Here is a 23,247-nt window from a genome sequence, read left to right as displayed (position 1 = left end):
ACCATTTTTCTGAACAGAATATGTATTACTGCATTATTGTATTACTTCTCTGTTTAAAATACTTTAATGATTCTCTTTTGTTTTCAAATCCATATGCCTTACTTGAATACACAAGTTGCACCATGATCAAAGCCTAGTTATTTCAACTTTTTTTTTGGATATATCCCTTTAGATTACACCTACTTGCCTCTCAACCTATGTTGTTTGCATGAATCCTTTCCTTGATCCCAACAGAATGACTTAAGTTTCATCTCCTATGTCCCTGTTGTACCTTGTATGTAACTTTTCTTGGGAGCTCTTTTCATTTAATCTACATTGCAATTATCACTAAATTTTCAGCCACTCCTAGTAATTCCAAAGGCCATCAGAGAAGAATTTGTCTTTTAATTCAATTATAATACTTAGTACACTGCCTGGAACATTGTAATCACTCAATAAATGCTTGTGGAATGAATATATTAAGTGAACAACCTGTGTTCTAATTTCATATTTAACAGTAAACATTCAACATATCTGATTTTTTTTAACCATAACATAAGGTATGGAGCCAAGGCTGGTCAATAAAGTTGTTTTTACTGTAGTATTCTAAGCCACTTATAAATTTGCTGCTTATTTTTCTAACACATTGAATTTTTCTGAAATATATAATTCATCGAGCAATATTTATTGCACATTTGCTACCCCCATGGCAGTTCCAAAAGTACAATGGCAAGACATAAATGATGTATCACTGCTCAGGTAGTATACTGATCAGGGATGAGGATCATTTATCATACCTCAACTAGGCCTTAAATTATGATAAAAATGCACTGAGGCTCACTTTTGCTGATTTCATTAAAATGTAGTCCTATCTTCCTTGGCAGGCATTTCAGCTCAGACTCCCCACTGGCAACTTAATGATATTAAAGGACAACAAAATGAGTCATGAATGATGAAAAAATAGTTACAAATAATAGAATACTTGGAGGTGAAATATGTTCATTATTTTGTTTATTTTTAAGTGAGCAAAAGCAGTTGTAAACATTATTTGTTTCAATTGATAGATGTTTATTGTGCATTTATATTTCTCAAATATTCACTGAGCAACAGGGTGTGAATTAAATAGCTTATGTCACAGAATGCTTGTAGCCATAAAACAGACTATGTCAAGACAACATAGTTAGAGATTATATGGTATCTGGAATAATGTGGGAGGCCGGATTAAAGTCTGGGCCAGGAACAACGGTAATTGTGGGAGACTCAACAAAGAGTGAGTACAGCTGAAGGAGCCGGGAAGCAGAAAGTATATGCGGCAGGTATGAGGAAGAAAATAGATTTTGGAAGTTATGAGAACTGTACAGAGTGAGTTGAGCATAGTTTGTGATTTTGAGGGCCTCTAAAAGTATTAAAGCAGCGGCAGCCGCTGCACGCAGACATGAGGGCTAGGCTAAAACAGTAAGGTCAAGTTGTTTGGACAGAAAGGCTACAGGGTGTGGTCCTGGCTCTTGTGTAAGAATTCTGACCGCACTAACCATGCCTAGGAAGGAAAGGAGTTGTTGTTTTGTAGAAGGTGCTGGGGTTTGAGAGATCAGTCGGACACGATTGGCAGGGAGAGCAAGTGTGTTTTTATGGGAATTATGCTGAGATAGGTAACAGATGAGGATGAAATTTGGGCTTGATTGAAGTAATGGGGGCTGTCTGTGAAGCTTTGCGGCAGTACAGCCTAGGTAATTTGCTGAGCTTGATGGGTGTCAGGGTCAGTCCAAATGAAAGTGAAGAGAGACTGGGATTAAGGGTGCAAAGGAATAGTAAAGAAAGCATGTCTGAGATCTAGAACAGAATAATGGGTTGTAGAGGCAGGTATTGAGGATAGGAGAGTATATGGGTTTGGCACCACGGGGTGGATAGGCAAAACAATTTGGTTGATAAGGCGCAGATCCTGAACTAACTTGTAAGGCTTGTCTGGTTTTAGGACAGGTAAAATGGGAGAATTGTAAGGAGAGTTTATAGGCTTTAAAAGGCCATGCTGTAGCAGGCGAGTGATAACAGGCTTTAATCTTTTTAAAGCGTGCTGTGGGATGGGATATTGGCGTTGAGTGGGGTAAGGGTGATTAGATTTTAATGAGATGGTAAGGGATGCATGATCGGTCGCCAAGGAGGGAGTAGAGGTATCTTATATTTGTGGGTTAAGGTTGGGGGATACAAGAGGAGGACGCAAAGGAGGCTTTGGATTGGGAAGAAGGGTGGCAATGAGATATAGCTGTAGCCCAGGAATAGTCAGGGAAGCAGATAATTTAGTTAAAGTGTCTCGGCCTAATAAGGGAACTGGGCAGGTGGGGATAACTAAAAAGGAGTGCTTAAAAGAGTATTGTCTAAGTTGGCACCAGAGTTGGGGAGTTTTAAGAGGTTTAGAAGCCTAGCCGTCAATACCCACAACAGTTATGGAGGCAAGGGAAACAGGCCCTTGAAAAGAAGGTAATGTGTAGTGGGTAGCCTCCGTATTGATTAAGAAGGGGACGGGCTTACCTTCCACTGTGAGAGTTACCCGAAGCTCGGCATCCGTGATGGCCTAGGGGGCTTCCGAGGCGATTGGGCAGTGTCAGTCTTCAGCCGCTAAGCCGAGAAGACCTGGGAAGGAGTCAGTCAGAGAGGCTTGGGCCAGAGTTCCAGGGGCTCTGGGAGTGGCTGCCAGGTGAGTTGAACAGTCCAATTTTCAGTGGGGTGCCACACAGATGGGACGCGGCTTAGGAGGAATCCTGGGCTGCGGGCATTCCTTGGCCCAGTGGCCAGATTTCCAGCACGTATAGCAAGCTCCTGTGGGAGGAGGTTCTGGAGGAACGCGTGGCCGCTGCGGTTCAGGCGTTTGGAAGTTCTTGTGTGCTGGAGATGTGGCTGGGGTTTGTCTCACAGTGGAGGCAAGGAATTGCAACTTTTTTCTATTATTGTACACCTTGAAGGCGAGGTTAATTAAATCCTGTTGTGGGGTTGAGGGCCAGAATTTAATTTTTGGAGTTTTATTTAATGTCGGGAGCAGATTGGGTAATAAAATGTATTTTGAGAATAAGATGGCCTTTTGACCTTTTAGGGTCTAGGGCTGTAAAGCATCTCAGGGTTGCTGCCAAACAAGTCATGAACTGGGCTGGATTTTTATATTTGCTGAAAAAGAGCCTAAACGCTATCAGATTTGGGATAAAGAAAAAGGAGCATTAACCTTGACTATGCCTTTGGCTCTAGCCACCTTTTTAAGAGTAAATTGCTGGGCAAGTGGGGGAGGGCTAGTCATGGAATGAAACTGTAAGCCCGACCAGGTGTGAGGAGGGGAGGCGATAAAAAGATTATAGGGTGGAGGAGCAGAGGCTGAGGAAGAATTGGGACCTAGCTCAGTCTGGCGAGGAGGGGAGAGGTCAGATGGGTCTGCAGGTGGGCTGAGTCGGAAAAGAGAGTCAGCGAAGGGAGATAAGGGTGGGGCCGTTTTATAGGATTTGGGTAGATAAAGGAAAATTAGTCAAAGGGAGTTTGTTCTCTGGCGGGCAGGAGTGGGGGTCGCAAGGTGCTCAGTGGGGGTGCTTTTTGAGCCAGGATGAGCCAGGAAAAGGACTTTCACAAGGTAATGTCATCACTTAAGGCAAGGACCGGCCATTTACACTTCTTTTGTGGTGGAATGTCATCAGTTAAGGTGGGGCAGGGCATATTCACTTCTTTTGTGATTCTTCAGTTACTTCAGGCCATCTGGGTGTATACGTGCAAGTCACAAGGGATGCGATGGCTTGGCTTGGGCTCAGAGGCCTGACACTGGTGAGCATTGATCTTTTTGCTGTCTTCATAGTTTTGTCTTTTATAAAGTGCCATATAGTTGGAATCATACATAATATAGCCTTTTCAGACTGGTTTCTTTCACCTAGTAATATGCATTTAAGGTTCCTCCCAGTCTTTTCGTGGCTTGATGTTCCACTTCTTTTGTGCTGAATAATAATTCCATTATCCAGATACACCACAGTATTATCCATTGACCTACTGAAGAATATTGTCGTTGCTTCCAACTTTTGGCAATTATGAATAAAGCTGCTATAAACATCTGTGTGTAGGTTTTTGTGTGGACATAAATAATCATCTCCTTTGGGTAAATACCAAGAAGTTGATTGCTGGATTTTATGGTAAGAGTATGTTTGTGGGGAAAAGAAACAGAGATCAGATTGTTACTGTGTCTGTGTAGAAAGAAGTAGACATAGTAGACTCCATTTTGTTCTGTACTAAGAAAAATTCTTCTGCCTTGAGATGCTGTTAACCTGTAACCCTACCCCCAACCCTGTGCTCCCTGAAACATGTGCTGTGTCAACTCAGGGTTAAATGGATTAAGGGCTGTGCAAGTTGTGCTTTGTTAAACAAATGCTTGAAGGCAGCATGATTGTTAAGAGTCATCATCACTCCCTAATCTCAAGTACCCAGGGACACAAAACACTGTGGAAGGCCGCAGGGACCTCTGCCTAGGAAAGCCAGGTATTGTCCAAGGCTTCTCCCCACGTGATAGCCTGAGATATGGCCTCGTGCAAAGGGAAAGACCTGACCGTCCCCCAGCCCGACACCCATAAATGGTCTGTGCTGAGGAGGATTAGTAAAAGAGGAAGGAACGCCTCCTTGCAGTTGAGACAAGAGGAAGGCATCTGTCTCCTGCTAGTCCCTGGGCAATGGAATGTCTCAGTGTAAAACCCGATTGTATATTCCATCTACTGAGATAGGGGAAAACCGCCTTAGGGCTGGAGGTGGGACATGCGGGCAGCAATACTGCTCTTTAAGGCATTGAGCTGTTTATGTGTATACATATCTAAAGCACAGCACTTAATTCTTTACCTTGTTTATGATGCAGAGACCTTTGTTCACGTGTCTACCTGCTGAACTCCTCTCCACTATTATCCTATGACCCTGCCACATCCCCCTCTCCGAGAAACACCCAATAATGATGGATAAATATTGAGGGAACTCAGGCCGGTGGGATCCTCCGTGTATTGAACGCCGGTCTCCTGGGCCCCCTTTTTCTTTCTCTATACTTTGTCTCTGTGTCTCTTTTCCAAGTCTCTCGTTCCACCTAACGAGAAAAACCCACAGGTGGAGGGGCAACCCACCCCTTCATATGTTTAGTTTTGTTTATAAACCACAAAATTGTCTTCCAAAGGATCTGTATTATTTTGCATTCCCACAAGAAATGATTGAGAATTCCTGTTATTGTACATCATTGCCAGCATTTGGTATTGTCAGTGTTCCAGATTTTGGCTATTCTAATAAATGTGCAGTGGTATCTCTCACTGTTTTAATTTGTATTTCCCAGAAGACATATAATGAGGAACAGATTTTCATATACTTATTTGTAATCTGTAATCTTCCTTGATGAGGTGCCTGCTAAGGTTTTTGCTTATTTTTAAATTAGATCATTTCCTTATTGTTGAGTTTTAGGAGTTCTTCATATATTTTGGATAACAATCCTTTATCAGATGTGTCTTTTGAAAATATTTTATTCCACAGTGTAGATTGTCTTTTCGTTCTCTTAGCACTGTTTTTCACAGAGAAGAAATTTTTGATTTTAATAAAGTCTAGCTTATTGATTCTTTCATGATTATGTTTTTGCTGTTATATCTAAAAAGTCTTATCATACCCAAGGTTTTCTCCTATGTTGTTTTCTAAGAGTTGTATACTTTCATGTTTTACACATAGGCCTACGATATGTTTTGAATTAATTTTTGTGAAGAGTGTAAGGTTTGTGGTGTCTAGATTCCTTGTTTTGCCTTATTTGACATGCAGATGTCTACTTGTTCCAGCAGCATTTGTTGAACAGATCATATTTGCTTCATTGTACTGTCTTTGCTCCTTTGTCAAAGATCAGTTGACTAGATTTATGAGTCTATTTCTAGGTTCTTCGTTGTGTTCCATTGATTTATTTGTCTCTTCTCTTGCCAGTATCATGCTGTCTTAATTTCTGTAGCTTTAGAGTAAGCCTGGAATTGGGTAGTGTCAGTTCTCCAACTTTGTTATTCTCCTTTAATATTTTGTTTGATATTCTGAGTCTCTTACCTCTCCATATAAACTTTAGAGTTAGGTTGTGAATATCCAAAAATGCCTCACTAGGGTTTTGGTTGAGATTGCATTGAATTTATAGATCAAGTTGGAAAGAACTGCCATCTTGATGATATTGAGACTTTCTATCCATGAACATGGAAAATCTCTACATTTATTTAGTTTTTTGTTTATTTATCAAAGTTTTATAGTTTCTTTTACAAACTTTTTGATATAATTAAGAATGTAAGTGGTATTGTGTTTTTAGTTTGTTATACTTAAGAATGTAAGTGGTATCATGTTTTTAGTATCAAAATATACTTTTTCATTGTTGGTGAGGAAAGTGATTGACTTTTGCATATTAACCTTGTGTCCTACAATTTGTTATAATTGGTTATTGGTTTTATAAGTTTTCATAAATTCTTTTAGATTTCTACATAGACAGTCATGTCATCTGTGAGAAAAGTTTTATGTTTTCCTTCTCAATTGGTATACTTGTTGTTTTCTTTTCTTGTCTTATTGCATTAGTACTTCCAGAATGATGCTAAAAAGCAGTGATGGGGGTGACATTCTATACTTGTTCCTAATCTTACTAGGAATGCTTCACATTTATCACCATTAAGTATGAAGTTAGCAATAGGAATTTTGCACTTATTCTTTACCACATTGAAGTTCACTTATATTCCTAGTTTACTGAGAGTTTTTTAATCAAGAGTTAAGTGTTGGAATTTGTTAGATTCATTTTTTGCATTTATTGATATGATCATGTGATTTTTTTAACCTATTGACATGACGGATTACATTAATTGGCTTTTGAATGTCAATTCAGCTGTGTATAGCTGGGATAAATCCTACATTTTTCTTTTTTTATATAAGACAAATATTTTTAAATAATTTATAATTTGTTCATGACAACATTTTGCTAATGAATGAACATGTTACTAATGAACTAACATTTAATGAATGTAAAGAATTGGAAAATGCAAAAAGAAAGAATTTCAAGTGCTTTTGAGCCTTTAATGGGTCTTGATGCCCTTTGAGAATCTAATAAAAGATTATGAATTCTAAAGAATAATGCAAATTGCACAAATAAACACAATTTGGCATTAATTTGTACTTTGTGCCACAGAAGTAAATGTGCTCCACTTGCCTGTTTTAATAGGTAAGTAGGCTCTGAAGAGTTAAATATTCTAAATGAAATGGAATAAATACAATTATGACTGATGCTAGAAGAAGGATGTGTGTAAATTGGCTTTGGGTTAAATTAATTTATGGCAATTAATGAAAGAATATAATAGAGTAGTTGCTTTTAAGGAGATTTTTAAAATGCAAAATTACATGTACTTACTAATTTGCAGAAGAGGTAATTATTTCTTTGAGTTGTATATTGAAAATTGTAACTCTTACATCATTTTATAAAAAGGCTGAAATAGAGAAATAGCTTCACCTGCAATCCAAATTTTAAGGGTGTCATTCCCATAGCAACTCTCACTATATCTTAGACATTTCCACATTTTTGATAATATGATGTTGTTTCCTAAATTAATATTTAATGGTTATTAAGGCTGGTTTATAATTCTGAAAAGTCACTGAACTTGTCTACCTGCCGTCCTTGACTCATGCTATCTTTCACTAGAATGTCCTGGGGAGATCTTAGTTAGCAAATTAGTTATGGGCTCAGGTAACAAATAGCTTTCCTTGTGAATTATTCTAAAGCCTCAGATAGACAACATTGCTTCTTTCTTTGTGCTCCCACAGACTCAGGTCACACAATCAGGCTACAGTTCATTCATTCAAGCTCTGCAGTCAATATCTTCTGATAGATTATGAGTTCTCTAGGGCAAGAGCAGAGTCTCATCCATCTATGTTATTTCAGCCTCAGTGCTTGTCAAGAGAGTAAACCTTCACATTGGTTTGCTGAATCAAAACACTTCATGGTTTTTCTGTCAAATGTAAGCATACTATCAGTAGCTGTTAAGAATATTTACCTTTTCTTACTAAATTCTAAGAAGCTGTATAAGCAAAGAAGCCATATTTATCTTATGCACCATTAAAAACACAACATTGGTCATGGAGCCTGGTACACTGCGGACAATCAATAAGTAATTGCTGAATGACTATTGAACAAATTAATTCAAAGTAGCATGAAGGGTACCTACAGAATATATTACTCCCAGTAAACATATTTTAAATGCTGTAAGTTACAGAAAGGCTTTTCTTTCAATTCATAAAGAAGCTCTTTTGTCATTTATTTATTCAGTTCTTCACAGCTATCACAGCAGAGAAGGAAAAAAAGTCATTACAATAAACTGTGATGAGGGTCATGAAAGAGAAGTACAAGGTCTGAAGTAAGTGCATAGACCAAGCAAACATCATTGTCTAAAAGTCTAGAAAGACCTGGAGAAAATGATATTGAAAATGAGAACTGAAGTCTGATGAATTAGACTGGGAAGAAGGCATGGGATGAAGGTGAAGAGTGCTCTTGGAGAACAGCTTTCCTTAAAAGCCAGAAATTAAAAAAGCAGAGAATTCCAGAAAATAAAAGTAAAGGGATTACCTATAACTATGACTCACTGCTACCCCCACACACTCAGTCCTTTCAAGTACAGTATATTCCAATATTTCTTAGCTTAAAAATAAAAAGAAAGAAAATTTAAAACCAACCTGTTGAGAAGCACCCCCAACACACACAATGCAATCATTTTTTCACTCTCACATTCTTCCATTTCCTACTGAAATGTCACTTTATCAACAAGGCCTTTCCTTACCACCCTGCCCCCTAGACTTTGTATCCCCCTTTGCATTTACTGCCACCTAAAGAGGTGTATGTTATGTTCAACTGTTCATATCTGTCTCCTTTTACAGTAAAACGAAAGCTCTTTGAGGGACTTTTGTCTAGACTGGAATAACTAAATGAATGATTAGATTAAGGCAAAGAGTCTGATGCTTTCAATATTGTCAGCCCCTTCAAGCCATAGAGCAACCTTCTAGATATTTAAAAAATGCAAATTTTTTCAGGCCATTCACTTATTTAAACCTGCCTATGTCTTTGCACTACATGAAAAATATGAGCTGCAATTCAAAACTTGGATTGATAAAATGTTTGTAAAATCTGGCTTCAGGTTCCCTACAAACTTAAGCTTTGCTCTCCAGCACCAAGGAGAAAGGCTTTTTTCAATTTCTTGAACAAATCATGCTTTTCCCCTCCACCTGGCATTTCCAAAAGGAATCCTCTTCCCTCCTTAGGAAGCTTCTTCTTCCCACCTTCTTCCTTCATAGAACTAATTCAGATTTCAGAACTCCACTTAGGCACTTGAAAAAAAAGTGCTGGAATTTAGAGCATATGTGTGAGCACATTTATTAGATATTTCCAAAGTTTCTTCAAAGAGACCTTGCAATCCCAAAAGCAATGTTTCTACAAGGACTTCTTTATGTCTTATGAGATTATTCCTTTCTACTTCGTCTGTCTTGGCAATGTTAATAAACAATACCTTCTTTTAAAATTACATTTTATAATTGTGTATGGCTTTTGGTTTGTCGTTGGTGGTGGGGATTTATTAAATCACCAATTGTGTTAGTCCACTTTGCGTTCCTATAAAGGAATACCAGAGGCTGAGTAATTTATAAAGAAGAGAAGTTTACTTTGGCTCATGGTTCTGCAGGCTATATAGGAAGCATGTCAATGAAACGTGCTTAGTTTCTGGTGAGGGCCTCAGGGAGCTTCCAATAATGGCAGAAGGCAAAAGGGGAACAGGCATGTGACATGGAGAGACAGGGAGCAAGAGAGAGTAGAAGTTGCAGTTAAGAACTCACTTAACTCACTCATTGTCATGAGGATGGCACCAAGCCTTTCATGAGGGATTCGTTCCCATGACCCTAGTGTCTCTCACCAGGCCCCACCTCCAATATTGGGGATCATGTTTCAACATGAGATTTGGAGGGGACAAAACATCCAAACCATATTATGAAGTGTTTATTTGTTACAATCACTCTTAGTTTTCTATTGCTGCCATGACAAATTACCACAAATTTAGTGGCTTAAAACAATACAATTTTATATTACAGTTATGGTGGTCAGAAGTCCTAAAAAAGTCTCAGTGGACTAAAATCAAAGTCTGACATATTCCTTTCTGGAGGCTTTGCATTTAATTGCCTTTCCCAGGTTTGAGAAATCAGCTGCATTCTTCAGCTCATGGCCCCTTCTTCAATCCTAAAAGATAGTAACAGAGGACCAAGTACTTCTCATGCTATTGTATGTTTGCTTCTCCACAACCTGTTCAAGTCTCTACCTTTAAGGAATCATGCAATTAGATTGGGCCCACCTGCATAATAAAGTTTTTAAAACACATTTTTATTTCTTCATTTGGCTGAAAACTATGTATTCTAATTATTTTCTTTTGACAGTTACACAGTTTTATTTTCACTGCTTAATTTTACATAATCTAAATTTAATCAATAAAATGATGTTAAAATGCAATCTTTTTAAATGTTATCTTAATTCAATAATGTACTTCTGCCTTGTCTTATACCACACAGATTTGCCATTATAATTACTACTGCATTATCATGCTTATTTTACATTTGCTTAGGTTTTTTTTTTTTTTAAATCACTACTTGCATCTTACTCCATTTTCAAGGTAAAGTTTTCTTCTTTCTAAATTGCACACAATTTTACTTCCTACAGTGAAGGTCTATTAATGATAAAGATTCACTCTTGTGTCTCTCACTATATATGTAGTGTCTATATATTAACATATATACACACATATAACCTACATTATTGTTTTATAAGTTTTAGATTATTGCTATTTTCTTGTGTTGTATTATCATTTGGCTCTGTTGTTGTTGTGGATAGCCACATGTCAGTGTAATTACTGATTACCAGGGGTAATGCTGTCCTTTTTTTTTATTGCTGTTACAAACTTATTTTTGTATTTCATCTGACTGAGTGTTGTTTGTCTTTTAGAGTGCATACTTTGTGTCCTGATTTTGAAAAATTATGTGTTTTTTTTTCCATCCTGGGAAATTATCTATAAATTTTTATTTTAATACTGTCTCTATCACATTTCTTTTATATTTCATTCCAGAAATATTTTCAAACATAATTAACTTTCTCAATCTTTCATTTTTTTCTTTTAACCTCTGTTTTGTATTTTTAATATATCTCTCTTTTAGTTGGCTTCATTTGCAGTTCTGTAAAAGTAATTTGATTTTCAGTCATTTCTAATGTATTTTTACTTTTATACCATTTAGTACTTAATTTTTAAAATTACACTTTTTTATTTCTACAAGTTGTGTTGTACATTTTGTGTTTATTTTGTATAGAATTATGCTTTAATATTGGAGTCCTTTTATATTTAATTTTGTTAAACATAGAGAAAATCTTGTGATGTGGCTCTTTCAGTTTTATAAAATTTAAATTAGCATAATAGTATACAGTCATTTTAAAACTAAGATGAATTTCGGTCATGTCTTATAGATTTGTAAAATTTTTCTTTGAAATCACCAAAACTGAGGTGACATTCTGGTATAATTGAGCTGTACTAAGTATATAATCTATGTGAAAGCAACCAGACTCAAATCAGGGGTGGTTAGACTAGCTCAATAAAACAACCTCACAGCTTACAACTTTAAGGTGATAGTTCTCTGAATATCCGTCCGATTTTTCATTTAAGAACTGTTGATCTTAGACACATGCCTCACAATTTTAATGAGTTCTAATACTTTCAGTATAAGATAGAACAGAGAAATATAGAAAAATCACAAATGTCTAGATGTAGAGAATATTGGAAGGATGACAGAGAGACAAATCAGGCTGAAATATACTAATGGCCAACAATGAAAGGCATAAAATTGTAGTAAAGGAGTTGCAATGTGATCCTTTAGAAGAATACTAAACTATTTTGATGGTGTGAATGCCATGATCAAATGTCTATTTTAGAAAGTTAACATTGTTTTCAGTGAAAATGTGGATATAAGTTTGGGAGCTATTGTAATAGTACATTTATCATATATATGATCCATCATCTTCTGTCCACTGTGAACTTCCCAAAGAAGGACTCAGTGATTTATATATCGACAGGTATCCCCAGAACCTTAATTCAGTTACTGGAACATAATAGTTAATCTCTAAGTGATAGTTGAGTTGAACTAAAAATAAAAAAAGAATGGCTTTAAATGTCAATGTTTTGAAAATGTAATAAAAATAAGATTATAATTTTTTACATGTGCTTTTTATATACCTGTCACTATTAAAATTTAAAACCTAATAAAATGGCTATGTATAGTAAGTAGTAAATATTTGAAGTAGATATTTAGTTTCTACTATAAAAATTAAAGTGTTTGATAGATATTGGGTTCTATTAAGATTTTAAATTATCAAGAAAAAATAGTGACATGTTGTATATTTTGATTATAATATTTAGCTACACTGAACTATTTTTGTACTAGTAAGATACAACAAAACTGTGTCTATTAAAATGTGTTCTACAAGATACATCATTTTCATCGAGATAAATGGATTGTGGGAGCAGATAGTGGAAGGGGCAAAAAGGCTACTTCAAGCCTCCTTTATACTGGCACCTAATCCGATTTATGTGGGCTCCACTTTCATTGCCTAATCACTTTCCAAAGTCCCTACCACTCAATACAATAATTTTGGGGGTTAGGCTTTAACATATGAGTTTTGCAGAGACATAAACATTTAAATCATAGCAGTGATGAACCCTTGTATATCCCTATGCAAAAAAAAAAAAAAAAATTAACCTCAACCCATATTTTTCACTGAAGTTAATTCAAAATGGATCATAGAGCTAAATGCTACAGTTAAAATTATGAACTTCTAGGAGATGACGTAGCAGGCTATCCTTGTGAAACCGGATTGAAAAATGTCTCTTAGATACAAAGCAAAAGCCATATTCCATTTAAAAATTGACAAATCAGACTTCACCAGAAAAAGAAATTCTGATTTTCATAAGACACTAAGAAAATGAAAGAAAAGTTACAGACTGAGAAAAAATATTTACAAATTAGTATCTGATAAATGATTTGTATCCCGAATGTATAAATAACTCTCAATAATAAAAAAGCAATAATCTAATTTTAAAATGCTAAGAATTTAAGCAAACATTGGCCAAGAAGCTATCAGATGACAATATAAAAAGCATTGCTGAGAACACAGATCAATCAGCATTTTTACACTCTGTGGCTAGAAGTTGAAAACAGTGCGACTTTGAAAAGCAGTTAGCAGTTTCTTAAAAGTTAAACACACATCTATCATGTGAAGTAGTTATTTCATTCTTAGATATTTATTCAACAGAAATGAAAGCATATGTACACAAATATTTAGAACAGCTTCATTTGTAAAAACAAAATTTTGGAAACAATGCAAAAGTCCATCAAGAGGTGAATGGAAAAAAATTCTTGATATATACATAAAATTGAATCCTATTCACCAATTTAAAAAAGTAACTGTTTATACAGAAAACACATGGATGAAAATCCAAATAAACTATGCTGAGTGAAAAAAATTACAAGAAAGTATATAATATGTAATTATGTTTAAATAAAATTGTAGAGAATTCATTACTAATTGTAGTGACAGAAAGCAAAACAATATTTGCGTGGAAAAATTGAGAGAGAAAGAAGGAAGTGGAAGGAGGAAAGGATTACAATGGAGCTTGAGGAAATTTTAGTCAGTGATGGCTAAGATCACTATTTTGATTGCGGTAATGTTTTAACATGTGCATGCATATTTCAAAGCTTCCCAGATCATAAACTTTAAAAATATGCAGTTTATGTATTAAATAAATCATTTCTTAAAGATTAAGATTTTTGGTATAACACTCACCAACATTAAAAATTAACTGATTGGACAGGAAATATAAAAACAAGTCTGGAGCATTTTGATGTATTAAAGAAAAATCCACAATGATGAAAATACGTCAAAAGAGCATAGAAGTCAACGGGAGTTCTCAATATCGAAGATGAAACAATTGGAACAATAAAACAAATAAAATAGTGATTGAATTACAACCTGAAATATAAAATGAATATCACATACTTAGATGACTAAATGATTGAATAAATAAACAAACAGGAGAAAACACAAATCTCCTGTGCAGAAAAATCCAAAATAACTTGTGTAGATTCTCTACCCTCAGGAGGTGGAATATAATTCCTTATCCTTAACTTGTGAACTGTGCATAGTGACCTTCAAAGAGTACAGTGTGGAAGTGGAGGAGAAGGGAAATTTACAGTATAGAAACCTGATGAACATTCTCTCAGCCAAGTGAGCAAGAACAGCTTTAACAAGTGATGGATAAGTCATATTAATTGTATGCACTGCTGATATGATGTAAAGAAAATGGCACTTTACCTCTGGTCTTCCTCCTAACAACTTGTAACACCAGGTTAATCATAAGTAAAGCATAAGACAAATCCAAATTGAGGAAAATTTTACAAGACCTGACCATTACTCTCTAAATTATCAGGAACATCAAAAACAAGGAAAGCTGGAGAAACTGTCATAACCAAGAAGAGCCTCGAGCCACATGATAACTAAATGTAATGTGGTATCTTAGCTGATAGCATAAAGCAGACAAAGGGCATTATTAAAGAAATCTGAATAAAGAATGGACTTTAGTTAATAATCATACATTTTAAAAATATGCAGTTTATACATTAAATAAATCGTTTCTTAAAAATTAAGGTCTACAATATAACATTCACCAATATTAAAAGTTAACTGACTGAACAGGAAATATACAAAATGAGTATGGAGCATTTTGATGTACTAAAAACAAAACCACAATGCTGAAAATATGTCAAAAGAGCATAAAAGCCAACAGAAGGAGTTATCAATATCAAATGTTTGTGTCTCTCCAAATATTGAAAATGTATCAATATTTCTCCATTAAAATTGTGATAAATATACCATACTAATGCAAAATGCTAATAACAGGGGAGACAGGATGTGGAGTAATATAGAAACACTCTGTACTATCTTCACAATTTTTCTCTGAATATAAAACTATTCTAAAGTTTTAAAAAGTTTACTTTTAAAAATGTTAACCGAAGCACACTACCGAAAAGTGCAGAGACACCAAATGTGTAGCTCCAGTGGCACAATTTTTTAGAACATGATACTTACAAGAGACACCAAATTTGTTCTCCATAACTTCTGCCCCATGGTCAAGACTGCCCTCTACGCTTATCTGTTTAATTTTCCCAACTTCCTGTGGGCTCTACCCAATGAGTGAATACACTAGCTCTAAACGAAGGATTCATCGTTAAGTATTCTTTTTTGTTTTTTACAAGTATTCTTAATAGAAAGTTTTCTATATTTTTGAGGAGAAAAATGGACACTAAACATAAATATGAAAAAATGGCTGAGTAGTAAAAATGTGGATGATACTTCTCTATATGTCTCACAAAATCCATGGTGCGGCAGTTATACATCCAAACACTAGAAGCTTCAATCCTAGCTGTGACACTAGCAGCTTGACTTTCATCCGTTGCTTTAAACATCTGTAGGAAAATGAGTGGAAGCTACTTATATCATGCAGGCTTTAAAAGGTGTAATTTGTGCAAAATGTTTACAACTCTGTAAGGTTAGTCACTAATACTACTTCGTGCCTCCCAGTTATTCCACAGCGTGGTAAACTGTAGAATAATGCAGCCACAAATTCTATGCTCTTTTCTTTTCTTTAACGTTTTTAATGTTAACCCTCTTTATACGGTTACATCCCAATTATTTTTGCTTGGAAACAGAGTGTAATGTGTCTGGAGACTGAATTTAAGCCTCATGTTAATTGTCTGAAATCCAGTTTGTTGTCTGCATCCCTTTAGAAATGTGAGCTATGTAGTATGCAATATTCATTATATGGCTAGATACCTCATATGAGAGTAATTTAATTGTCAGTGCTGCTCAACCATTGTTTAATGAATTCTTAACAATTTGAAAGGCAAGCTGTTGGAAGACCATTATTACATTTCATATTTGCTCTGCAGTTTTCTTCACCATTGCTTCATCTATTTAGGATTATGATAACATTAACTTTTGAATTCCTTGAAAAAATATGACTTTTTGCATAATGAAAAATTTGAACTTTTTATCTACTTGGAAAATAGGGTAAATTTATTTTGAAGGCAGGCTTGCAATTAGGTCAAAGAGTGATAATCACACTAGTCTGTATAATAAAACAGATTCATAAAACAAAAGGAATGTTTGTTCACTCATTTACACAGTAGCACAATAAACAACATTATGGTAGACACAGAAGGAAAATTCATGTAATTAGAGCAAAAGTTAATCTAAGCTTATAAGTAGCTTAATAAATTGTAACCACTAATATCTCAAAAAGAAAATTAAAGCATGTTCTATTTATATTATTGATTATGCCACAAAGCGTAATAGCCTATGTATTACTGTGTTCATTTGTTGTAATATCCCAAGAGGCACACAGGAAAATAACATATTTTGGGTGGTTCATATGAAAATCAAATAAGTTAAATTTGAGAAAGAAAACTGATTAGATCAATAACTTTAGGTGTCCAGAACAAGCAAAGCCAGTCTACATGAATATTTCCAGACTCTTCAGTATTATAAACCTTGAGTCTTACAACGCATTGAATAAAATTAAGTTCCTTTGTACACATTTGGATACTTTCTGAATCTCCAAAATATCTCCTAAAATAACATTTACTTGTTATTTAATCATGGCCAAGAATACTGACAAAGCAGAAAATCATGACTGAGCCATGTTGTATATATGTACACCCTTCCATGGACTCAGTGGGCTTTTATGAAAAATATAAAATAAAATGCAAACATGTCTCCCAGATTTTAGGGAGACATTATTAATGAGAGGGATTGCTAAGCACACTGCAATTAAAAATTGATAAAATAAATAAAAAGTAGCATTTGGGCTGTTTGCTGAATTAATAAAATCTAACGTATTTAGGAAAATCTATCAATTCAGTGTTGCTTTGATGGAGCTTCAGGAAATTCTTAGTAGCACTAGGTAAAATGTTGCCAATTATGAAGAGAAGTGAGATTGCCAAACACTTATATTTTGAGAACCAGTATGAATTCTCTGTCCTGATATTCAATACCAACTGCCAGGATTCATCATATAAATATCCATAAAATTAAAATAGCAGGATGGCACAGTGGACAGACCATGCATGCTGCAGTTAAAGAGACACAAATGTAAATTCTCATTAGAACTCTGAAGTTTTAAAATTACTTATTGTCTCAGAATGCTAACATCCCATCTATAAATAAGGAGTTTTGGTTACATGCTGTGGTAGCCATCTTTCTTGGTGTCTAGCAGTACTTCCTGCATTCTTCATGTTACAGATACCATCCTCATGGACACAGAATGGCCATGTCACATAGGCTAGGCTAGTCAATCCTCTACCCTTTTCCCAACCTCCAAGAGTGATTGATACCTAAGGATGAGAACCTCACTGAAGCTGGGTCAGTCAGATTTTCCCAATTCTTTCGTACAAACTAGAGTTGAGGGACACCAGGCCCCTGTTCCCTTTGGTCAGGAATCTGCACGGCATTAAATCTGGAATCAACTACAGACATGCTTCTGATAAAGAGAAGCATAACTATGATAGCAAAACAACAATAAAAACAGATATGAGATGTGAAATAAAGATACTCTGGGGTCACTTCCATCCCTGACAGCCCCATGGCTTCAAATGTATGTCAACTAATCTTCCTTTTCAAATCAAGCTAGTTAGAGAAGCATTAGCCACTTATAACTAGATTTCTACTGATATTCCTTCCTTGGGGGGTGTTTTTGGAGATAAGAGAGAGTGCATGTAAAGTATCAGTCATAGATTAAGAACATTGTGAACTGAGGATATTTTTATTATAATTTTTTTTACTCAGTTTATATATAAAGATTCTGATTTATTATTGGACTCAGGCTGGGGTAAAAATAAAAGTAAAACTGAAATTTTCCTTTTGATAATTTAGGCCAAAATTTGATAGCACAATTGTTATGACTAGTACTCCCACTGTGACTTAGACTACTATTGCTAGCACATCTATTATTACTACTACAACTACTACTTTATCTACATTTACTGGATGACTAATACTTCTTTTTGTTTTGCTTTTTAACATTTATTTTTTAAGTTCACGGGTACATGTGCAAGTTTGCTACATAGGTAAACTTGTGTCATGGAGATTTGTTGTACAGGTTACTTCATTATCCAGGTATTAAGCCTAGTACCCATTAGTTATTTTTCCTGATTCTCTCCTTCCACCCACCTTCCACCCTCTGATGGGCCTCAGTGTGTGTTGTTCCTTCTATGTGGTGATATGTTCTCATCATTTAGCTCACACTTGTAAGTGAGAACATCTGGTTTTCTGTTCCTGTGTTAGCTTGCTAAGGATAATGTCCTCCAGCTCCATCCACGTCCCTGCGACAGACATGAGCTCATTCTTTTTTATGGCTGCATAGTATTCCATGGTGGGTATGTACCACATTTTCTTTATCCAGTCTATCACTGATGACCATTTAGGTCGATTCCCTGTCTTTGCTAATGTGAATAGTGCTGCAGTGAACATACACATGCATGTGTCTTTATGACACAACAATTTATATTCGTTTGTGTATATTTCTTTTTGTAAATACCATTCCTTTGAATGATATTTCTGTTTTTGAGGAATTGCCACACTGTCTTCCACCATGGTTGAACTAATTTTCACTCCCACCAACAGTGTATAAGTGTTCCTTTTTCTCCACAACCTCATCAGCATCTGTTATTTTTTTGTGTTCTAATAGTAGCCATTCTGACTGGCATGAGATGTTATCTAATTGTGGTTTTGATTTGCATTTCTCTAATGATCAGTGATGTTGAGTTTTTTTTCGTATGCTTGTTGGTCGCATGTATGTCTTCTTTGGAAATGTGTCTGTTCATGTCCTTTGCCCACTTTTTAATGAGGTTGCTTCTTTTTCTCTTGTAAATTTGATTAAGTTCCTTATAGATTCTGGATGTTAGACCTCTGTTGGATGCACATCCAACAGTTTACAAATATTTTCTCCCATTCTGTAGGTTGTCTGTTTACTCTTGTTACTTTTGTTGTGCAGAAGCTCATTAGTTTAATTAGATCCCATTTGTCAATTTTTGTCTTCACAATTGCTTTTGATATCTTCATCATAAAATCTTTGCTTGTGCCTGTGTCCTGAATGGCACTGCCTAGGTTGTCTTTCAGAGTTTTAAAGTTTTGGGTTTTACATTTAAGTCTTTAATCCATCTTGAGTTAATTTTTGTGTGTAAGGAAGAGGTCCAATTTCAGTCTTCTGCAAATGGCTAACCAGTTATCCCAGCATCATTTATTGAATAGGGAATTCTTTTCCCATTGCTTGTTTTTGTCAGGTTTGTCAAAGATCAGATAGTTGTACATGTGCGGACTTATGTCTGAGTTCTCTATTCTGTTCCGTTGGACTATGTGATGACTACAATTTCTGGGACCTATGCTAACGGATTTTTTTAACATCATCTCATTTAATCTTCACATAATTTACTTTATTCTGTTAATTTTTGTCATTATCCCAGTGTATAAAGAAGAATAATAGTACCTTAGTGAAGTTAAGGGGCATACCCTGAATTCATGTTCAGATATGCTTCACTCTAAACCAGAGTACCGGATCATTGAGTCATGCTTACCGACATTAATATAATTCAGATAAAAATTGGCTATTTGCTGAAATCATACAGACAACTTTTTCATTTTTCTGTTTCTCTGTGTGTACAAATGCAACATGAATCCAAGTGGCAGGACCACTGAACATTTCAAAATGAAAGCAGGGAAGTGTTATCCCAAGCTGTAACATGAATGTCAACTCTGTTTGAACAAAATGCTGTGAGATGTAAAGAAAATCATGCTTCATATTGTTGATTCACCTTTAATATATTTATAGAATATATAGAAATTTAGTAGATGATATTTACATATTTAGGATTTATGAAATGAGGAACTAAATGTTGCTATTGTTTCTACAGTCTAAGTCTTGAGAGAATTAGTCATAAGCAATACATCTAATAACTGCTTCTGCTAAGAAAAAATTGAAGTTGTCATAAACCCAGATCATGCTAGAAAAAAATAAAATTATCATTAAACTGAATGGAAGGGTAGAATATAGCTAGAGGGAGAAATGGTTTCCAAAGGAGCCAGAAAATGGCAATTTAGTGAGTTGTTCCCTTCATCTATTCTGCATCCAATTTTTAAATGTTCTTTATCTGGCTTTAGTACTACACTGGTCATATACTCTGCAACTAAATCTTTTAGTCATTTTTGGGTCAGTTTCAGTGTCCTTTTCTTTATATGAAGTTTAAAAAAAAATTTAAAAACTACCTTCTGGGAAAACTCTTCTCCCTTTTCAGCTGTCAAAATGATTTAAAGTGTGACCTCTCAATCAACGGGCAGTGGCCACTTTGTCTATAAATGATTTTTTTTTCTGATTCTCTTTTGTCTTTTGTTCCCTAAATGTGCCATCGAAAGCAGTGCCTTTGAGTTGCTCAAATTGGTCCATTTCTTGAATTGTCTTCCTCTTTCAATATTTCATTTAATGTTTCTCTAATGGTTAGTTACTGTCAGTAGCCTTGCAAAAAGGTATGCCTATGAGTTTATGTCCTCACTAATGCACATAATCTTGAATATTTAATAATACAATTCTTTGAAAGGATGCAGTTTTATCTAATTGCAGGCTCATTTTCTTGTCCTTCTTGTGGAATATGCTCTGTGAAATTTCCATTGGTATTTTTAATCTTAATTTAGACTTCATAATATTAAAAAAAACTTTAGAGGAGACATATTTTCTGAATGTCAAGCATAATTTTACTTTCAATAAATACTGAGTATGGACAACAAGGGAAAGAAAATATAAAAATTTCATTTATTTAGTAACATTTTTGCCATTTTTTTACTGTACTAGATATTACCTCATTTAATGTTTACCATGACTTTATGTAATTTGAAAAATGTTCAGCCACAGTCAATGAATAGGTGTATTTTTGTGTATTAATTATTGCTTCATTGTAAAGCTATAAGCCAAGCATTTGCAAATTTATACATATTAAATAACGTACAAGAGACATTTATTATAAAACTAAATATGAAAAAATATAAACCGTTATTTGCCAAAAATACTGTTCAAAATAAATAAACTTTGTTTCCTCTTGCCAATTTTTTTATTGCAAATGTATCACTTGTTGAGCACTCCACACAACCTCACTGGTGCCAGATTTTGGTTCACTAGACTTAGGGTAGCTATTCAACCAAGGCTTGCCTGGAAAACATATCTGTCCCCACTACTGTTTTTGTTTAGGCCCTTCTCAGATTGTCCCAGGACAATTTTTCAGTTTTGCAAAGATCTCCATTTCTCAGTCTTCTTTATTTTAGCTTTACTTTCTCTTTACCACTGTTCAGGTATTTTTGTCAAGTGTAATTCACAATATAAATGCCAAATATTTTAAAATCTAGTTTTAGTGTATCTTTCCAAATATACTCTGAGATACTTCACACAAAGCCCTATACTTTTCCCACCGTTCCCGTGATTTAGAAAACATTCCTGTTTAAAGGATGCATGACTTCTGGGAGGGCAACATGAGGGGATCAGCACACCCTCCATATGCTCACCAAGAACATCCGAAAATGAGGTTAAGAAAAACAATTTCATTCATAATTTCATCAAAAAGAATAAAATATTTGAGATTACATTTTTTACGAGAAGTTCAAGGCCTGTTTTCTGAAAACAACAAAACATTGCTGAAAAAAAGTTTTAAGAGATCTGAAATAAATAGGCATTCTATGTTTATGCGCTACAAAGCTCAACATTGCTAAAAAAGCAATTCTTTATAGTTTCATCAATGGGTTTAACACAATCCCTGTTAAAATCTCAGCTGATGGTTTTGTAAATATTGACTAGTTTGTCTTGACATTTAAATGAGAATGAAAAGGGCTCACAATAACCAAAACAATTTTGAAAAGAACCATGACAAAGCTTACTATACATTTACAATAATCATGACACTGATACTGGTGCAAGAAAAGATCCCTAGATAAACAGAATGAAATTGAAAATTCAGAAGTAAAAACTTAGAATTTATGTTTCATTGACTTTTAATAAAGCCACTAAGGCAGTTGAATGGGGGGAAAAGGTAGTCTTTTCAACAAAAGGTTCTGAGAAAATTAGATAATCCCATTAAAATTCCTAATTTAGGTACTTTACTCATATCATAAGACAAAAATTAACTTAAAATAGATTATACACTGAAATGGAAAGGCTAAAATGTAAAATTTTAGAAGAATATATAGGAGAAAATTTTTGTGAAAGTAATTTAGAAGACAGATTTTTAGACATAACACCAGTAATGGTACATAAAATAAAAAATATATATATTGGATTTCATTAAAAATAACTTTTCGTCCGCACATACATGACTTAAAGAACTTAAAGAAGAATAAAATAAAATATAAAATAAAATAACTTTTTGGCCAGGCGCAGTGGCTCATGCCCATAATTCCAGCACTTTGGGAGGCCAAGGTAGGTGGAACACCTGAGGTCAGGAGTTCGAGACCAGCCTGGTCAATATGGGGAAAACTGTCTCTACTAAATACAAAAAATTAGCCGGGCATGGTGGCAGGAGCCTGTAGTCCCAGTTACTCGGGAGGCTGAGGCAGGAGAATTGCTTGAACTTGGGAGGTGAAGGTTGCAGTGAGCCAAGATTGTACCACTGCACTCCAGCTTGGGCAACAGGAGCAAAAACTCCATCTTAAATAAATAAATAAGTCAATAGATAACTTTTGGGCTTCAAAAGACATCTTTAAGGAAAGAAAAAAATAAGACATTGACTGGGAGGAAATATTTGTGAAACATAACATCCATTTAAAGACTTATATCCAGAATATATAAAGAATTCTTATAATTTAAAAAGGAGACAAACAACATAATTTAAAAATAGGCAAACCAATAGAATAGGCATTTCACTAAAGAAGATATATGAATGACTAATAAGCACATATTGTGGAGAAACTATATTCTCGCATAGGGAAGAGAAGAAATGTAAAATTTTGAAAGCCTGGATTCAAACCTGGAAGACTCTCATTTTTTAAATGGACAGATTTGTGACTAGAAAAGCATCTCTCAGGAATAAAACGAAATTGACTTTTCCAGAACATAGTTTAGTACAATAATA

General features: G+C 35.0%; 4 annotated features.

The window, feature by feature from the left end:
* Positions 2,106 to 2,807: an enhancer, noted in NCBI's record as "NANOG-H3K27ac hESC enhancer chr13:54843241-54843942 (GRCh37/hg19 assembly coordinates)". NCBI's record gives its function as "activates a minimal SCP1, AML or CMV promoter by ChIP-STARR-seq in naive H9 embryonic stem cells {active_cell/tissue: H9 hESC(naive)}" and the evidence as "EXISTENCE:reporter gene assay evidence [ECO:0000049][PMID:30033119]".
* Positions 2,808 to 3,509: an enhancer, noted in NCBI's record as "OCT4-NANOG-H3K27ac hESC enhancer chr13:54842539-54843240 (GRCh37/hg19 assembly coordinates)". NCBI's record gives its function as "activates a minimal SCP1, AML or CMV promoter by ChIP-STARR-seq in naive and primed H9 embryonic stem cells {active_cell/tissue: H9 hESC(naive and primed)}" and the evidence as "EXISTENCE:reporter gene assay evidence [ECO:0000049][PMID:30033119]".
* Positions 3,510 to 4,211: an enhancer, noted in NCBI's record as "OCT4-NANOG-H3K27ac hESC enhancer chr13:54841837-54842538 (GRCh37/hg19 assembly coordinates)". NCBI's record gives its function as "activates a minimal SCP1, AML or CMV promoter by ChIP-STARR-seq in naive and primed H9 embryonic stem cells {active_cell/tissue: H9 hESC(naive and primed)}" and the evidence as "EXISTENCE:reporter gene assay evidence [ECO:0000049][PMID:30033119]".
* Positions 4,212 to 4,913: an enhancer, noted in NCBI's record as "OCT4-NANOG-H3K27ac hESC enhancer chr13:54841135-54841836 (GRCh37/hg19 assembly coordinates)". NCBI's record gives its function as "activates a minimal SCP1, AML or CMV promoter by ChIP-STARR-seq in naive and primed H9 embryonic stem cells {active_cell/tissue: H9 hESC(naive and primed)}" and the evidence as "EXISTENCE:reporter gene assay evidence [ECO:0000049][PMID:30033119]".

The sequence above is a fragment of the Homo sapiens genome, chromosome 13 (assembly GCF_000001405.40).
Source record: "Homo sapiens chromosome 13, GRCh38.p14 Primary Assembly".
Taxonomy (NCBI): Eukaryota; Metazoa; Chordata; class Mammalia; order Primates; family Hominidae; genus Homo; species Homo sapiens.
This window is presented reverse-complemented; position numbering and strand designations above follow the sequence as displayed.